We start from the raw sequence: 19,163 nt of genomic DNA on the forward strand, positions 1-19,163 counted from the left end.
GGCTGAGGCAGAAGGACTGCTTGAGGCCAAGAGGTCAAGGTTGGCCGGGTGCAGTCCTCACACCTGTAATCCTAGCACTTTGGGAGGCCCAGGTGGGCGGATCACCTGAGGTCAGGAGTTCAAGACCAGGCTGGTCAACATGGTGAAATCCCGTCTCTACTAAAAATACAAAAATTAGCCGGGCGTGGTGGTGCACACCTGTAATCCCAGCTACTCAGGAGGCTGAGGCAGAAGAATTGCTTGAACCTGGGAGGCGGAGGTTGCAGTGAGCCGAAATTGCGCCACTACAGTCCAGCCTGGGCAATAATGTGAGACTCCGTCTCAAAAAAAAAAAAAAAAAGGGTTCAAGGCTGCAGTGAGCTATGATCTCGCTCCTGAATAACCACTGCACTCCAGCCTGGGCAACATAGTATAATAAAACCCTGTCCAGATAAAAAACAAAACTATTATCGAATTTAGCAAGGAAGTCATTCTCAGTCTTGACAAACAAGGAAAGCTCTGACATAAGACCTCATTGTTTACGCTCATTTTACTCTTTAACATGAGTGAAAATAACAACTAACATTCATGTCAGAGCTATGCTCAGAATGCCAGCTGTAAAACATTTACCAGCCTACCACTGCCTCAGATCCACCTCTGAGCCTCACCCCTGACCCCTGTTCCAGCCCTGGGTGCATGGGCACTGGGGGGTAGGCAACAGAAGACTCAGGGGATACAGTCCCTACCCTAGGTGCTGCTCAATGTTCAACCCGAGGAAATGGCCCCTGCCTTGTGACTGTGTCATAATTTCCCCCACAGACCACAGGTAGCAATCCATACCTACCATCAGCAAGAGAGGGACCCTGGAAAGAGACACAGGAAGGGTATTAGGTAGCCACTCTTCCCATCTGTACTATTAAGCTATTTTTTTTTTTTTTTTTTTTGAGACAGAATCTCGCCCTGTCACTAGGCTGGAGCGCAGTGGCATGATCTCGGCTCACTGCAACCTCCGACTCCCTGGTTCAAGCAATTCTCCTGCCTCAGCCTCTCCTGACATGAATAGCTGGGATTACTGACACGCGCCACCATGCCCAGCTAGTTTTTGTATTTTTAGTACAGACGGGGTTTCACCATGTTGTCCAGGGTGGTCTCGATCTCCTGACCTCGTGATCCATCCACCTCGGCCTCCCAAAGTGCTGGGATTACAGACTTGAGCCACCACACCCGGCCTATTAAGCTATCTTTAATGTCTGTAATACAACTCCAAGCAATACAACATCTGGACTGCCACAGAACCCGTGATGCCAATTCAACAGTTCTAATGAAAACACATTTAGAAAGAGGCTTTAAACAAATGTTGAGACAAACAAACGAAAACCCTTTCTACTTAAGTTTGAATACTCAAGTTTCTACTTAAGTTCTCTTGCTTGAGATTTTTGTGAACTTGACTCTCTTGTTACACAGGGCAAAGAACACCTATTTTTTCAGAAAAAGAAAAAGGAAGAGAGAACAAAACAATCCAACGTACTGAAGGATTACAAAACATTGCATTTACCCATATTAATTAGAAAATTACTTCAGCAAGCGAATTTTCCAGTTAACAGAAGCCTGTCCTTTAGGTACTCAACAGAAGCTGCTAGCTGTTCCCAAATATCCATTCTCCTTTCTCCCTTTAATAGTGGACTTCCTAAATTTTAGCTGATCACTCGGTAACCAGCACTGCGTTTCCTAGCTTCCCTTGTAGCTACGGGTGGCTGAGTGACTAACTGCTGGCCTGAGGAATGCAAATTGTAATGGATGTGTGACTTCGAGAATTGAGCCCTTCAAGGAGACAGGCGTGCCCTCTGCTAGCTCTGTGTTCCCATTCTGTTGTCTAAAACAGTGGGACAGTGGGACCTGGAGCAGCCACGTCAGACCAGGAGGTAGAAACTGTGTGTTAACAATGGCAGAACTGGCTGGGCCCGGTGGCTCATGCCTGTAACCCCAGCGCTTTGGGAGGCTGAGGCGAGAGGATCTCTCGAGCTCAGGCATTCAAGACCAGCCTGGGGAACTCGGTGAGACTTCATCTGTACAAAAAAAAAAAAAAAAAAGTAAAAAAGTAGCCAGGCATGGTGACGTGCATCTGTATTCCCCACAACTCAATTGCTTGACCTGGGAAGTCAAGGCTACAGTGAGCTGTGAGGGTGCCACTGCACTCCAGCCTAGGTGACAAGCAACAATACAGGAACAGCCTGGGTCCCCACCCCATGGAGCCATCATACCAGCCTTCCCACACTTTAACATGAGAAAGAAATTAGCTTCTTTCTTCTTTAAAGTCACTGTTATTTAGCCCTTGTTACAGCAGCTGAATTTGTATCCCGAATGACACAATTACCAACATTTTAAGTCATTTTAACTATTTTGTTTTTAACATTTCAAGGATGATAGCCTTTCTAGAACATGCCACACCTTTCTTAACTCATTAAACAGAGCAGACAGAACATCGTTTTCTCTTTTTTGACTTGAGAAGCATAATTGCTATTCTGAACAATAATACAAGGCGATGGCTGAGGAGCGGAGGGCTGCTGCCTCCTGTGGGCTTGGTTCATTCATGCCTAAGTCCTGCAGTTTTTCTACACTTCTTTCCTCTCACTCTCAAACTATCAAGGATCAAATAAGAAATACACACAAAATGCTTCCACCCGGAGCCTCAAACGTAAAAGTATTCAATAAATATTTTGTATGATTATGATTGCTATTAGTATTATTATTACCTTTTATTGGGGACAAACAACTACTTTTCAAAACCCAGAACTTGTTTCTTCTGCTTAAATAAAAATCCCAACCAGGAAGACACAGAAGATTGAAATCCCACTATTAGAGGCATTATAACCAGCTGGCTCAACAGAATGGAAACTAGGATTTGTTCTCACTGCAGCCCCCTCTGTTTCTTTAAAAATACCTTGGTGGTCTTTTTGGTCATGAAATGTAAGGAAAATCTACCTATTGATCTTGGGGAGTCTCTGAACTAAGGACCTCAACCAATAGCAGATGTTTCAAATGGAGAGGTAAATGCTCTGTTTGATCATGAACAAGGCTATCTTCATGGTAGTCAGAGTGTGGCTCTTCATAGAACATACGACGTTCAGAGGTTTTGCTTTCTTTGACCAGGGCAAGAAGGGGGCAGTAGCACCATAAAATGTGATACTCTTCCAGCTGTGAGTCTGCCCCAGTCATGTGGCTGCGAGCCTGGGGCCAAGAGGGAGATGGCCAGATGGGCCCTGGGAGGGGGCCTGACCTATGAACTCTAGAGCATTGACACCTGACCGCCAGTGTAACCCTCCCTTATCTGCCTGCAATTCACTCATGTTATCCTCAGGAAGCAGTTAAGTGTCACAGCCTGTGTTACATGTTCTTGAGTCTTGAAGGCAGGTCTTGGACCAGAGAGAGTTCCCACATATGCACAGAGGTGATTGACAGAGCAGCTGGGGAAGCATCAGGCAAGAAGTGACAAATGTCAACCAGCATAGACTTGTTATACAGTCAACACAATGAGGCGTCCTCAGAATCTCCTGGAGAAGAGCCTGCCAAAGGCTCAGAAACATATGATTTTATTACGATGCTATTATTAACATCAATATATCATTATAATAATGTTATTATTGATATAATAAAATTATGTTATATCTTATTTTATAAGATTGACATTACTGTATTATTTCTCTCTTGTTAGTATATTATCATCTCACTACAAAAGTTATTATTCTCCAGTGTCCAGCTGTGTATGGAGTCTTCTCCCCAAAAATACCTTCCCCTCCAAATCTAAGGCTACTAACCAGCTATAATTGAGCTTGCAAGAAACATGTTAACAAAAAATGTAAACAAATTCTGATGGAAGGCCTGGAAGCATTTTCTTAGCAATGAAATACAAGATCTTTAAAAGTTAGACCAAGTAATATCTTACTTTGCTTGGTCAGGGTTTTTTTTAACAATTTCTGGCTCCCCAGCTGTGTCCCAGAGAGTTAAAATCATCAAATTAGTTGACATTTGGCAAATGGAGTGAAACTGTACAATTTCTGAGCTGGCTTCTTCACAATTAAAGTCCTGTCATTAATGGTAAAATGGGGTGTCCAGGTCTAGGAAATTGTCAAAATAAAACTGGGGAGATTAATAGGTTGCCAACTTTATTTTGCCAACTAAGAACATTTTTAAAAATTACTAAATCCTATTAACATACAACATTTAATAAAACAAAACATTTTACCACCAAGATAGTAGGAAGCAGATATTTCAGAATAAAGGATCATCCTTTAAGGGGAATCATTTGAACTTCATGAAGACTTTCAAATGGCTCTTGTTTTTCTTATGTCACCACGGATGGGTGGGAACTTCACACAGAATGGCACCCGGTTTGGAACTATTATTCTAGAACATTACGCCCATAGCTTGGGAAGCTTTCTGGGAGTTGTTGGCCTAAAATAATTTCCATACATTTTCCTAAATATATGGGAAGTAGATTCAAGGAAGAGGAGTGGCCTACTTCCCATAAGAGAAACTCTATGAGGAAATGGGAAAAGACTGCCTGCTTTGGGCAGAGCTCTGTATTATCAGCCAACCAACCCAAAGATTTCTTCCTGACCTGAGTTGTCTCTGAGTGTCATGAGTGCTGAAAACTACCCTTTTGAGGAGACAGGAAAATTGTGAAATCAGGTTCCTTTCATGGAATGAATTTTCCATTCTTCCTGGCCCCAGGAATGCTGAGTCTGTTGGTAATTTTCATTCTTGGGTCACAGCCTCCAGGAGAGTAGGAGAAAGGCCAAATAGGAGACAGAAGTCTTCAGTATGTTTCTTCGAATCCTGGATTTGCTCGATGCATCTATAAACAGAAAGGCTGCCCTGCTCCAGCCCTCCAGATGCAATTCCCAGAAGCCAACAACTGCACAGTAGTGAGTGGGTAAGACTGGCCCTACGCCAGCTTAAGAGAGAGTTCTAAAGCTGGCATGCACATGAAAGAAAGGAGATTCTTGTTGTTAGAAGAACAACCAGTGAGAGAAGACTTTACCTCATGAGATAGCTGAGTAAAAGCTTCTTTTACTAAAACCAATGACCCCACAATAACTTTGAGGAGCCTTCCTCCCACCTACTGATTTTATTTTCCAGCATTTGGAAGAACTATGGAGAACCAAAGGGATAAAGATTGAATTCATTACCAACTCTTCCAGAAGCTCTTTCTACTGACCTGAAATAATTTCCATATATTTTCCTAAATATATGGGAGTTAATTGCCAATTTGCATTCTGGTTTCAGTATTCAGGTCTCAAGATGGAAACATAAGCCTTTATTTCACGAAAAATAGATAAAGGAAAACTCCTGAAGCTCATTTTCTAATGCCCGAAAGGTTTGTGAAGAACAAGTGTAACATTTTTTTCCTCTCTAATAGCCTATTCAAAAACAACTAAGAGAAGCAGCCCTCCCTTGAGTTTGAGTTGGTTTATGATTGTGGTTACATCAGAGGATTTATTCTCCACCCCAGCCTCTCCAAATCACTGCTAATTCTTATAAGGGTCACAGGAATGTAATTTTGCCTGATATGCCTCCTTGTAGCCAAACTCGACATCAGCACCTTTTAGAAGTGGGAAACTAGGAATTAACACGCTGAATTTTCATTATGACTCTCTGTGTTGAGGTTCTGTTTGGGAAGACTTTCCCATGTCCTTTGACACTGGCCTGCTCACATTATTAATTTAAATGTCTCAGGAACATCATCTGCTCCTGCTAAAATAAATGACAAATGAGTTCTGGAAAGTGGCTTCAAGATTTACCCTAGTAGGAACAGTCAGGGGAAAGCTCAGTGTCTGAAACACTAATTTAGATGCAAGGTTTAATAATGTGTGTTTAGCGATGACCCTAAAATCTACTCACTCACAACTTTCCCCATCTGGTGTAATTTGCTTTCTCCACTTGGAAAAATGCACACGACAGCATGCATTATGGCCATGTTGTAACAGTGAGACCTCATCCGTCACATACTTCACCGAGGGAGGCTTATTTCTCATCCTGTCTCTACCAAGCTCCCAACCTCTAGTGGCATTTTGCAGTGCAGGTCTGACCAAGTACCCGTGCCCCAGCCCAATACCACTTTGGAGAAGGAGATGATGGAGCCGTACCTTGTACCCGGGTTTCCGCCCTCTTTTCTTTGGGATCTTCACTGCTGGTAAAGAGCCAGCTGAAGCAGAATAAAGGTTATGAACTGCCATCTTCATAGGCGTGGAGTGAAGTGAGGGTCGGCCTCGCTTTCTCCCCGGGATCCTTTGAGACTGCATTTCTGCTGGTGCCAGTCTTACAGAATGAGGTGACAAATCGCTCACAGGCAGAAGAGGTGCTAAGAATTAGTCCAGACACAAAGCAAAACAAAAACAGAAGGGTTTGTTTGGTTTGCAAGGCAAACATGATCCTGTCTGGTGATTTTGGCGATACCTACCACTTATTGGAGGGGAAGACCAAATATGAAGGAGCTAGGTACCACTAGATGCATTTACGATGCTGTTGGGCCTCTGGGGGAGTTAACTGGTGTAATTTCAAGGATGTTGAATTTCCATGGGGCAAGTGAAGTAGGGAAGATACTGGCTAGGCAAAGAAAACAATAGTTTCCCAGCTCCAAACACAGCTGATAATGTCACCAGCAACAAAATGACTTTGTCTGTGTCTCAGTTTCCTCAGTTAGTTCAACTTTGAACTGTTGTAACAATAATATTAAATAAACAAAGCCACTCTCTCATGTTCACTCCTATCTCTTTGCTTGAGTTATAAATTGTCATGACCTCTTTTTCTCTTGAAAGAAATTTAAGAAATTTAAATTGATCAAATCAATTGTATGAAAGTTGATGATGTCCTTGTATCAAAATGTGGACAGAGATTTACATACAGGTATGTTCATTTTAACATGATTTGTTCATTTTCACATGATTTAGAATTGCAAAATTAAAATGCGTGCAACCCAAATAATAAGCAATAGGAGAATACTTAATATCTGCAGAATAAAACAATCAACTAGTTAAAAGCCTTTAATGACACTTTTTGAACAACATGATGTTGAATAAAAAAAGCATCGCACATTAAAATGACCTCAACTATGCAAAAAATTTGTATGGTCAAAAAGTGGAAGCAGACATGCTAAAATGCCACCAAGGCAAAGATGGCAGGACTATGGGTAATTGTTCAGCATGTACAATCCTTTGTACAGATACCACACACACTACAATAATCTTAGCATGGCACTAAAAATATGAATAATAAGGCCGGGCACACCAGGCACACTGACTCATGCCTGTAATCCCAGCACTTTGGGAAGCTGAGGCTGCTGGATCACTTGAGCCTAGGAGTTCGAGACTAGCCTGGACAACATAGCGAAACCCCATCTCTACTAAGAATACAAAAATTAGCCAGGCTTGGCTGCCCATGCCTGTAATCCCAGCTACTCGGGAGGCTGAGGCAGGAGAATTGCTTGAACCAGGGAGGCAGAGGTTGCAGTGAGCTGAGATCGCACCACTACATACAAGCCTGGGTGACAGAGCAAGACTGTCTCAAAAAAAAAAAAAAAAAAAAAAAGAATAAGCTTCTCAGGTAGAATTGCCTAAACCTTGAAGCAAGAGGTAGTTGATCAAACTTGACTCAAAGAACATAGTGGTATCATGAGTTCAGGGGTCAGACTTCCTGGAATGTTCAGGAATGTGATGAGTGAGGCAGAACTTTAGACTTTGATTCAGGGGTGATAAAATTCATTTTTAAGGATTAGTGGTACCTTACAGTGGAAATGAGAGGCTTTTGCCCAAAAGCTTGTAGAAGAAGTTGGGGAAGACGATGGGCACAGTCCCTACACCCTGGCCTGGGCCTTGTCTACAAGGACAAGATTGCTCTGCTCAGGACAGAAAATATAAAATAGTGGAAGTTCTTAAAAACATGATAGGAAATATTGGGTATCCTTTATAGATTTAAGGTCACTTTGTTAATTTTCTGAATATGAGCAGTATTCTATCAATAATCTTGATTGTTCTTGGAAATACCATATGTAGTAAATAGAATTTTAAAGTATAAATTTATTTTTTGAATGCACTGTTAAACAGAAAACAATGCATTGTTAGACAGACAAGGTGTTCTGGATACGAATTTTTTTTCTGTTCTTGTGAGTTTAAGAAAAATACTCGGTCTCATTGATTCTAAGAAGCATATTTTTCATATATTAACATCTCTGAAATCAGGGTGCACCCTACAGTGTGTCAGAATTCCATAGGGAGCATTTTTTTTTCTATCTTAGTAGTACATAAAATAATGACAGGTGATATAACTAAAGGTATCTTAAAGTCAATCAGTTAGGATGAGGGACTATAAGCTCATTAACATGTGAACAAAAAAATCATCCTACTTCTAGACTTAGTGCCAATAAATATCCAAAATATTTGTTTTCCAAAAAGAGGCTACTAAAAACATTGAAGAACCACCAAATTTATTTAATAAGATTTTCGCTATGTGAAAGTTGGTCCGAGTCTAATTTTGAACTATTCTCATCAAGTTTCTGCTTCTTCCTTATTATTTTTATAGACTTTAAACTCAGGAATTATTTTTTTCCTAGTTTGGGACATGCTTCTCTGCTTTACTACTTTGTCTTTACTGAGGAGTAAAGACAACCTATCCAGTAACATCAAGATCCGAAGTCAACAAGAGAAAACCCATGATCAGGCTGGGTGCGGTGGCTCACACCTGTAATCCCAGCACACTGGGAGGCTGAGGCGGGCAGATCACCTGAGGTCAGGAGTTCCAGACCAGCCTGGCCAACATGGGGAAACCCCGTCTCTACTAAAAACACAAAAAATTAGCTGGGCATGGTGGCAGGCGCCTATAATTCCAACTACTAGGGAGGCTGAGGCAGGTTGCAGTGAGCTAAGATCGCGCCACTGCACTCCAACCTGGGTGTGACAGAGTGAGACTCCATCTAAAAAAAAAAAAAGAAAGAAAGAAAGAAAAGAACAACAAATCAGCACTCACATGAAAACATCTACAAGCATTTAGGCAAGATAAACAGGTCATTTACAGTGGAAAGAATAAACAGGCCAGTTCACTTCAGCACCATCAGCCAGAAGATAATGGAGTCACCATGGTGGCATTTTTTTCCTGTTATTTATAGTTGTTGACACACTTGCACCCACCACAGGGCCTTTGCTTTTGCAGTTCCCTTTGCCTGGAATGCTCTTTCTTCCCCCTCTAGTCCATGCCTCTCCTTCCTCAGTTAACTCAAGGAAGCTTTCTCTGACCCCGCTAGGGTTTCCTGAGCTTAGAGTTCCTCAACTGAGACACAAACCCACTGCATGTGCAGTATCCACCATGGAGCTTGAACAAGGGAAGCCCATGAGAACATGAAGTTGTGTGACTTGCTGTATCTCTGACCTAGGAGCTATCTGTCTTCTGCCAGCATCTGTGACGCCAGGGCCGGTTAATTTGTTTGCTGTCAGAGAGGGTAAAATCTCAGACCCTTCACAGTTCTTCATATAGATTTCATAAGAAGTAGAAAGATTCCAATGAAGGAAATAATGTTTCTTAAAATTTTGCTAATGTCCTTAAATAAGATTTGAATAAATAAGATTATTTTATTTTGGGACAGATGGGTATTTTTAAAATATAATTTTAATTAAATGCAATCACATTAAAAATCCAAACTGACTTTAGAAAAAGAAGGGCAAAACAAAGTCTAGTGAGGAAGATTTGCCCTCCTAGTTATTAAAATGTGCTATAAATCTCCAATCATGGCAGCAGTATGGTATAGGAGTAGCAATTGGGTCAATGGAAAAGTTAGTCCAGAAATTAAATGAATATTAAATTTCCATTCAAAAAATTTAGGAACATTTCACATCAAGACACGAAAGTGCAACAAATGATTTATGGACAACTGGCGTTTAGAAATAAATAAAATTTTACCTATATTTTAAAAAAATATTTTTAGAAATTCCCAACACTTAAATATACATAAAAAAAGAAACATTAAAAAGTCCTAAAGACAATATAAGTCAACATTTGTATGTTCTCGGAATGGGGATGAGCTTTCTAAGTACTGGATATTAGAAAACTTGGGAAGCAGAACCAGAAAGATTGATAGACATGACCACGTAAAACTCAAACACTTTCATAAAGCAAATGTAAAATCATAAAAAAGATTGAAAATAAAGCTAAGGAAACTATTTGCCACATATGGGAACAACAAAAGGTTAATACAAAGAACTGCAAATTATAAAAATACTAGGTTGGTGCAGAAGTAGTCACGGTTTTTACCATTGAAACTAATAGCAAAAACCGCAATTACTTTTGCACCCACCCAATAAAAGTGAAACTCACTCACCCAATACACACAGTAGAAAATGAGCAAAGGATACAAAAAGACAAGCAGGAAAGAAGGAAGGAAGGAAAGAGGTGAATTATTACAAGAAAAGATTCTGCACTTTATTGCCAACTCCCCCAAAAAGTAAATTAAGGTATCATTTGTCAATTGCCAGATTGATAAATGTGAAAAACCCTGACAATACTCATGTTGGTGAGGGGCTGATGCAATGGGCACTCTCATTGATTGTTGGCAAGGGTACAAATTGGCTAGCCTTTCTGGAGGACAATTTGAAAAGCACGTAAAAATTTACACAGCCACACCTCCTAATCCAACTTTATCACTCCTGAGGATTTATCCTAAAAAAAGAATCTGACAAGAGCACAAAGATATATGGCCAAGGATATTCTTTGCAGCATTCTTTGTAATAGTGAAATACTGAAAGCAATCAAAATGTCCCTCAAAACAACAGTGGTTTAGCACATTATTTCACATTCATAAAATGAAATATTTGTATGTATATATGTACATATACATGCATATGTGAAGATTGCAAAATAGCATATATACCTTGATTCTCTACATATATTTTATGTATATAGATAAAGATAAATCTGCACATGTTTAAGCATAAAAAGGTCTGGGGAAAGTAATCATCAAAAGGCTGATGACAATTGTGTCTGGGCAGGAAAATACTAAAAGATGCTCTTCCTTTCCTCTTTGTACACTTTTGCATTGTCTGAATTTGTTTTGTTTTGTTTTGTTTGAGATGGAGTCTTGCTGTGTTGCCAGGCTGGAGTGCAGTGGCACAATCTCGGCTCGCTGCAACCTCCGCTTCCCGGGTTCAAGCAATTCTCCTGCCTCAGCCTCCCAAGTAGCTGGGATTACAGGTGCTGGCCATCACGCCTGGCTAATTTTTGTATTTTTAGTAGAGACGGGGTTTCACCATGTTTGCATGATTGGTCTTGAACTCCTGACCTCATGATCTGCCCACCTCGGCCTCCCAAAGTGCTGGGATTACAGGCATGAGCTGCCACGCCCAGCCACATTGTCAGAATTTTTAAAATCAGAATTAGAAAAATAGGATAAAGAGAAAAATAAGCAATGAATGGATGATTCTTATTTTCTGAAAGTTTCTACTGAAAATTTTTGCTTCCTGGAATGGCCTTCTGTTTTCTTGTTTTCTAACAGTTTTTGTTCTTGAGCCACAGAACTTCAGTGGCTACTATGTTAACGTTGCAAACAAAAGTAACAAAAAGGCAAAAAGGTCTTTATCAATCAGCAAAAATATCAGAAAAAGTTGTTCCAGAGCTAAGAAGCACATCTATAAACAGATGATGGACAGGAGTGTTTCACCAGACCCCAGAAAGTAGCAGCTTGCCACCATCACCCTCCTTGCCACCACCTCCCCGTCCTTGACACCACCTCCCCACAGGTGGCAGCTGGGCCACTGCTCTTTTCCCAGATTCCCCCATCTCCAAAGACCTTCAAAGACCTCAAATGCTGTCCAAAGATATTCTACCCATAGACACATAATTTAACACATCCAAATATATAAATCAGGCCGGGTACAGTGGCTCACACCTGTCATCCCAGCACTTTCGGAGGCTGAGGCAGGTGGATCACTTGAGGTCAGGAGTTCGAGACCAGCCTGGCCAACACGGTGAAACTCCCATCTCTAATAAAAATACAAAAATTAGCCAGGCATGATAGCATATGCCTGTAGTCCCAGCTATTCGGGAGTTGAAGCACAAGAATCACTTGAATCCGGGAGATCACGCCACTGCACTTCAGCCTGGACAACAGAGTGAGCGAGACTCTATCTCAAAAAAAAAAAAAAAAAAAAAAAAAAATATATATATATATATATATATATATATATATATATATATATAACTTGAGAATGCCCAGGATCCTAGAGGGATATATGAAACCTCTGAATTTTTCTGCTTTCAATTGTGGACTTCAGTGCAGTGAATACTATCTCAGTTCAGGTCAGATTTGAAAGCCATCTTGAAGCACAGTGCTTTAGTAGTCATTAAAAGAGTCTGTCCCTAAAACAGCCTAGTCATCAACTTTCTAAGTCTCCAAGTTATAACCTTTAAACAGTTGTCAAATCGTGGCCTGGAATATTAAATCAAGTGATTTTCCGCTGGCTTCCTAAGTCTCCCTCTTCTTATCAAGCCAAGACTTGGCTAGAAATACTACAACGGAAAGCAAGAGTAACTAAGATCTGTTCTATTAATTTGGAATGACATTTTACATGTTAGCTTTGCAAATCTAACACATATCAACCAAGGTCCTGGCGAATCATGCTTCATCAAGATAAAGATCAAGAAATAACCAAATCCAAAGCATACTCCAATCCCATGGAGCCACTGGGTCATACAAGAGTTAGTCTGAGACATGTATTCATGTATTTACTCATTCATTTACTAATTTGTCCAACAGATTTCTGTTGAATAGACAGTGAGGCTCAAACACTATGCTTAGGTACTCTGATGTCAAATAAAAATAAGACACATCCCGGCCGGGCGCGGTGGCTCACGCCTGTAATCCCAGCGCTTTGGGAGGCCGAGGCGGGCGGATCACGAGGTCAGGAGATCAAGACCATCCTGGCTAACACCGTGAAACCCCGTCTCTACTAAAAATACAAAACATTAGCCGGGCGTGGTGGCGGGCGCCTGTAGTCCCAGCTACTCCGGAGGCTGAGGCAGGAGAATGGCGGGAACCCGGGAGGCGGAGCTTGCAGTGAGACAAGATCGCGCCACTGCACTCCAGCCTGGGCAACAGAGGGAGACTCCATCTCAAAATAAATAAATAAATAAATAAATAAGACACATCCCCTCAGATAGTCATTGTCTACAGAGAAGCAAACAAGCAAAGAGGCAATAATAACATGCAAGACAGGTGGTCTAACAGGTTTTGTATGAAATGCTATGAGAACACCAAGGAGGAGGGAGATCAATTCTTTTAGTAAGGTTGGGAAGGGTAGGAGCAGGTGATATCAGAGCTAGGATTTTCCCGGGCAGAGCAGAGCAAGATAGAGGCACAGGGCTGGTGATGATGCAGGGATGTTTGGTGGTGCATGGAGAAGGGGTAAGCCAGCCCAACTGGAAGCAGGATCAAGGCTTCTGTTGTTTCTGTAAGTGAACGGAGGTAGCTTTAAGGATGCCTAGCCTCTGCTGGACTCTAAGTTGTTTCCTTCTATTAACTGCATGGAGTGTGTTCCTGACCTTGGGGTAATGTTCTAACTCACTGTCATTTCGAAAACACAACCCTATCTTCTCTTGTTCTGGGACGCCATGTTGCCCTCACTGTGAGCCAATGTCTCCAGTGTCATTCTTCTGCCAGCAGTTTCATCCTAATGCTCGTGTGTCTGCAAGCTGCTTAGGGCTGTCTGTGAGGTGGTTCCCAAGGATCAAAATGCACTTTGGCATCTGTCTGAAATTCCACCATTTCCAAGGTGGCTCAAACTCTCCTGCTTTGGAGGCCTTTCCTCGTCCACACACTGGTCTCTCAACTCCTTTACCACCCATTGTGTGCACTTCCAGTTTCATCAAGCACTGATTACATGATGGCTTATACAGTTTTCCCTTTGTTTTGAACACATAAATGATATCTGTACATCCATGGAGGCCAGGGGCCGTGTTTCACATGTCACTCTGCTCCTTACAGCCCCTGGTACAGTATTGCACCCACAGAGCACGCCTGGCACCGGTGACAACCTGTTCACTGTGGAGTCTAGACATCTTACTGAGGCTGATGGCCCACAGCTGGAGTCGGAGGTGCCTTTGTATTTTAAATCTTTGGATAGAAATACATCAATATAATAGAATGCCTTTGATAGAACGAAACCTTCATACCGTTAAAAGAATAGGGCCACCAATATAATCTGTTAAAGTGAAAAAAAATAAATTCCCTTACACACATTTTTTTCCAATTCTGATACTAAAATTTGACCAACAGAAGCTAAAGCCAAGACTCACATGTACTCATTCTTAGCGTCAAATTTTTCCCTTGGATACTATTCTCCACCATAAATAAATCCAGGAGGCTGAGTGTGGTGACTCATGCCTGTATTCCCAGCAATTTGGGAGGTCAAGGCAGACGAATCACTTGAGCCCAGGAGTTTGAGACCAGCTAGGCAACATGGTGAGACCCTGTCTCTACAAAAAATACAAAAATTAGCCTAGCGTGGTGGCACACATCTGTGGTCCCAGCGACTTGGGAGGCTAAGGTGGGAGGATTGCCTGAGCCCGGGAAGTTGAGGCTGCTGTGAGCCAAGATCTCGTCACTGCACTCCAGCCTAGGCGACAGAGTGAGGCCCAGTCTCCAATAATAATAATAATAATAAAACTTAAAAAAAAAAAACCAGGACTCGTCAGAGATGACTGATTTCATATCTTGGGGATAGAGAAGAGTCGGCATTAGCTTGTAACATATTATTATTACCAGAACAAAGATAATTTTGAGAATATCATCGGTGCTAAGAGGACAAAGAAGCAACTTGTAACAATTTATGAATCAATAATAATAGTAACCATAGCAATGTAGTCAATTGACATAAATTGTTTGTGATAAGCAATGGTTTTTTTTTTATATTCAAAAGACTTAAATAAGGCGCACCAGACTATGGTTGTAGTTGTTTTAACACAAAAGAAGGGTGAATAGAATAAAAGTGATTTAGGCGATTTTAGTAAGTATAGGAGAGCTTACGTATAGGTATTTTGTTCTGTTGAGTACTGATATGCACAGTCTAAACAGAGAAAGTTAGAGTTTAAGGCCAGCTGGACAACATGGTGAGACCCTGTCTCTACAAAAAATACAAAAATTAGCAACAAAAATTAGAAACAAACCCAGTTTCTGAATACAAAGAAACTGAAAGTAAACCAGCTTGTCCTGAAAAAAATAGGAATTGACCCAGGAACAAAAAGACTGGCTAGTCAATCTCAGTCGTCCCACATGATAAGCAGGCCAAAAGAGGTTCCCCAAGCCGGGCGTAGTGGTTCACGCCTGTAATCCCAGCACTTTGGGAGGCCGAGGCGGGTGGATTGCTTGAGCTCAGGAGCTCAAGACCAGCCTGAGCAATAGGGCATAACACCATCTCTACCGAAAATACAAAAATTAGCCTAGTATGGTGGTGTGTGCCTGCGCTCCCAGCTATTCAGGAGGCTGAAGTGGGAGGATTGCTGGAGCCTGGAAAGTTGACACTGCCGTAGCTGTGATTGTGCTGCTGCTGTAAGCCGTTATTGTGCCACTGCACTCCAGCCTGGGCAACAGAGTATGACCCTGTCTCAAAAAAAAAAAAAAAGAAAGAAAGGAAAAAAGAGGTTCAACAGAACGTTCAAGGGTGATAAATCCACCAAATATCTTTACAGGAGTTGCAAGGTGCAAACTTGTTTCTTCAGCCAGTAGTAGATGAAGCTTCTAGATGTGTCTCATAAGTATATGGAGACCAAGGCTCATGCTCCTCCTTCTCCAGATGTAGAACTCTCAACTCTGTTGTTGGATGGGGGTACAAGGAGCTCCTCAGGTCCTAGTAATGGGCCCTCGCTGTGAGGGAAGACTCTGAAAGCCTGTCAAATCCATTCCACCATTGGCTAAACCTGTAAAAGCTATCACTATTTTCAAATGCTAGAACCTTCCCTGCCCCCAAGAGGGGTACAACAGCCAGGGTGACAGAAAGCCAAGATTCATATATTTAAGGACAAGGAGGAAAGATAAATGAAGTAAGAACAGAGAATATGCACAGTGAAGCGGGAAAAACACCCATTCCAGCCTGCAGGATTCGGAAACGCTTTAGAACATTTTGAAGCATGAGCAATAGGCATGCCGCAGAGGTAGGAAAAGTTTTCCTGGCCTGGCTCAGCTGTACCCTAAATCTACGTATTCTCTGGGGCCCACCAGTCTCCTCAGTTGGCACAGGAAGAGGAGGAAAGACTGCTTCTAACTCCAGTCCTGCCATCAGGCCTGCTTGTTGGGGCTGCTCCTTAGAAGGTGAGCTCAAGGGAGCATGAGAAGGGAGGGATCCGGTCCCGGGGGGCTGAGTGTGCCCCCTCCCTGTCTCAGATGTCCATCCCTTCTTTTTAAATCAAGTCCCACATTAACAGGCCTTACCCGGCACTGTGGAGATTGCACGTGGGGCCCTGGGCTGTTTCCCTCAGCTGCATTTCTTACTCTTCTCCTGCTCTTCTCTGCACCAAAGCAGGTGTTGTTCCCCTAGTTCCTGTGACTGTCAGCTGCTGGATAAGTTTGCCTGATGGCAGGTGCTGGTCTGAGTTTGCCTGATGGCAGGTGCTGGTCTGAGTTTGCCTGATGGCAGGTGCTGGTCTGAGTTTGCCTGATGGCAGGTGCTGGTCTGAGTTTGCCTGATGGGAGGTGCTGGTCTGAGTTAGCCAGATGGCAGGTGCTGGTCTGAGTTTGCCTGATGGGAGGTGCTGGTCTGAGTTTGCCTGATGGCAGGTGCTGGTCTGAGTTTGCCTGATGGGAGGTGCTGGTCTGAGTTTGCCTGATGGCAGGTGCTGGTCTGAGTTTGCCTGATGGGAGGTGCTGCTCTGAGTTTGCCTGATGGCAGGTGCTGGTCTGAGTTTGCCTGATGGGAGGTGCTGGTCTGAGTTTGCCTGATGGCAGGTGCTGGTCTGAGTTTGCCTGATGGGAGGAGCTGGTCTGAGTTTGCCTGATGGGAGGTGCTGGTCTGAGTTTGCCTGATGGCAGGTGCTGGTCTGAGTTTGCCTGATGGCAGGTGCTGGTCTGAGTTTGCCTGATGGGAGGTGCTGGTCTGAGTTTGCCTGATGGCAGGTGCTGGTCTGAGTTTGCCTGATGGGAGGTGCTGGTCTGAGTTTGCCTGATGGCAGGTGCTGGTCTGAGTTTGCCTGATGGGAGGTGCTGGTCTGAGTTTGCCTGATGGCAGGTGCTGGTCTGAGTTTGCCTGATGGGAGGTGCTGGTCTGAGTTTGCCTGATGGCAGGTGCTGGTCTGAGTTTGCCTGATGGGAGGAGCTGGTCTGAGTTTGCCTGATGGGAGGTGCTGGTCTGAGTTTGCCTGATGGCAGGTGCTGGTCTGAGTTTGCCTGATGGCAGGTGCTGGTCTGAGTTTGCCTGATGGCAGGTGCTGGTCTGAGTTTGCCTGATGGGAGGTGCTGGTCTGAGTTTGCCTGATGGCAGGTGCTGGTCTGAGTTTGCCTGATGGGAGGAGCTGGTCTGAGTTTGCCTGATGGGAGGTGCTGGTCTGAGTTTGCCTGATGGCAGGTGCTGGTCTGAGTTTGCCTGATGGCAGGTGCTGGTCTGAGTTTGCCTGATGGCAGGTGCTGGTCTGAGTTTACCTGATGGCAGGTGCTGGTCTGAGTTTGCCTGATGGCAGGTGCTGGTCTGAGTTTGCCTGATGGGAGGTGCTGGTCTGAGTTTGGAGGTAGAGGTTGGGATGGGTGAAGCCCATCTTTGGTGAAATTCCCATCTCTGGTGAAATCCCCATCTTTGCTTGGCTAGGTCCCTACTAGAAACTGCTCCTGGTCCATGGCTCCAGCTCCCTCTGAACAGGCCCAAACAGTGCCAAGCTCTGCTGGGCGACCTGGTCCTCGTTTCTGTCCTGCCACCTCCTGCCCCTGCCCCTCAAGCTTAGGGGTGGTTGCAGCTGCAGGGACAGTGGCTGAGTGCCCAGTCTCTTGTTTTGGCTCATCACTGTGCGACCATTTCCTGCATTAAATACTCAATGCCTTAAATACTAAAGAGATTTCCTACTTAGACCCCAACAGACAGACATGAAAAGGACAGCATCTGCCTGCCCTTGAGACCAGTTCGTGACCGGGCAGAATGGGAAAACTTGTAAGAAAGGGAAATTCCTATCTTTCCTATTATTTTAAAGCATGGAGTCTGTCTCTCTGTGGCCACACCTGGAGATACACCTGCAGGCAAAACCCGTAAGTCAAGAGAAGGGACCCAGAGGATGGGGAAGATGCAATGTTCTCTGCCACTGATGTGGTCAGCAGAATCATGGATAAAAGAAATGAGAGAGAATGACTTTTAAGATAAATGTGGAAATTTACACAGTGGCATGTATAGCATGCTATCATACAGTGGGTAAAGAAGATGCATGTAAGCATTTCACATCTATACATGCATGTATGCTTATGGATGCATAAGATACCACTGGAAGCATTTTTACAATAGTAGCAATTGTCTCTTGCTGGGGTGGGGAGAGGAAATGAGGTTCTAAGGACTGGAGAGAGAGGAACGGTTTTTTTCTCTGCATACTCTTTTTTACCATTTGAATGTTGTATATTTTTAAAAAATAAAAACAATCCAATAAAGTCAATCTAAATGAGTGAGTGGCTCTGATATCCTCAGCTTTTGATCAGCCAGGGCCAGCTGCCCTAGTGCGTGGGAGGTGAAATGAGTCAGGTACTCTGGACCCTGAAAAGACTCCAAATCACAAGCCCATATGTGGGGGCTGCACTCATCACGGCCCGTGGTGTGTGCATTTGCCCTGACTGGGATCCTAATCACCCCAGTGGTTTGGCTGAGCAGACCAGCAACCATTTCAGTGGGTGTTTATGGCACATGAGGCATAGTACCAGGTGCTAGTGGACATGACCCTGGACTTAGGGGGCTGGACTTTAGTGCTGGCTCTACTCCTAGCTAGCTGAGACAGAGACAAGTCACTTCACCATTCTGGGCCTCGGCCCCATACTGTACAGGTTCAGATCTCTCAACTCCCTGTTAAACAAAGCTGACAGACACGCCTGGTTTATTTATTTTCTTTATTTTATTTTCTAATTTTCTTATTTGTATCTTCCCGGTCCAGAGTTGTATTTGGGTCAAGGAGTGCATTCTTCTTCTATG

At 43.2% G+C, this 19,163-nt stretch overlaps 1 protein-coding gene across 9 annotated transcripts in view; it reads right to left on the minus strand.

Moving 5' to 3' along the window:
- SCML4 (Scm polycomb group protein like 4) overlaps window positions 1-19,163 on the minus strand; it is a 143,885-nt gene that overhangs the window by 63,893 nt on the left and 60,829 nt on the right. For 5 of the 9 annotated variants that reach the window (XM_047418598.1, XM_047418596.1, NM_198081.5 and 2 more), the window contains exon 2: window positions 6,126-6,340. The exons of 3 other annotated variants lie outside the window; for them this stretch is intronic. In XM_047418598.1, the coding sequence (XP_047274554.1) occupies window positions 6,126-6,281 (156 nt within the window). In that variant the 5' untranslated portion in view covers window positions 6,282-6,340. Of the gene's footprint in view, window positions 1-6,125; window positions 6,341-19,163 lie in introns of those variants that run through there. One more of the 9 variants, XM_011535704.3, reaches the window with a different exon arrangement.

The sequence above is a fragment of the Homo sapiens genome, chromosome 6 (assembly GCF_000001405.40).
Source record: "Homo sapiens chromosome 6, GRCh38.p14 Primary Assembly".
Lineage (NCBI taxonomy): Eukaryota > Metazoa > Chordata > Mammalia > Primates > Hominidae > Homo > Homo sapiens.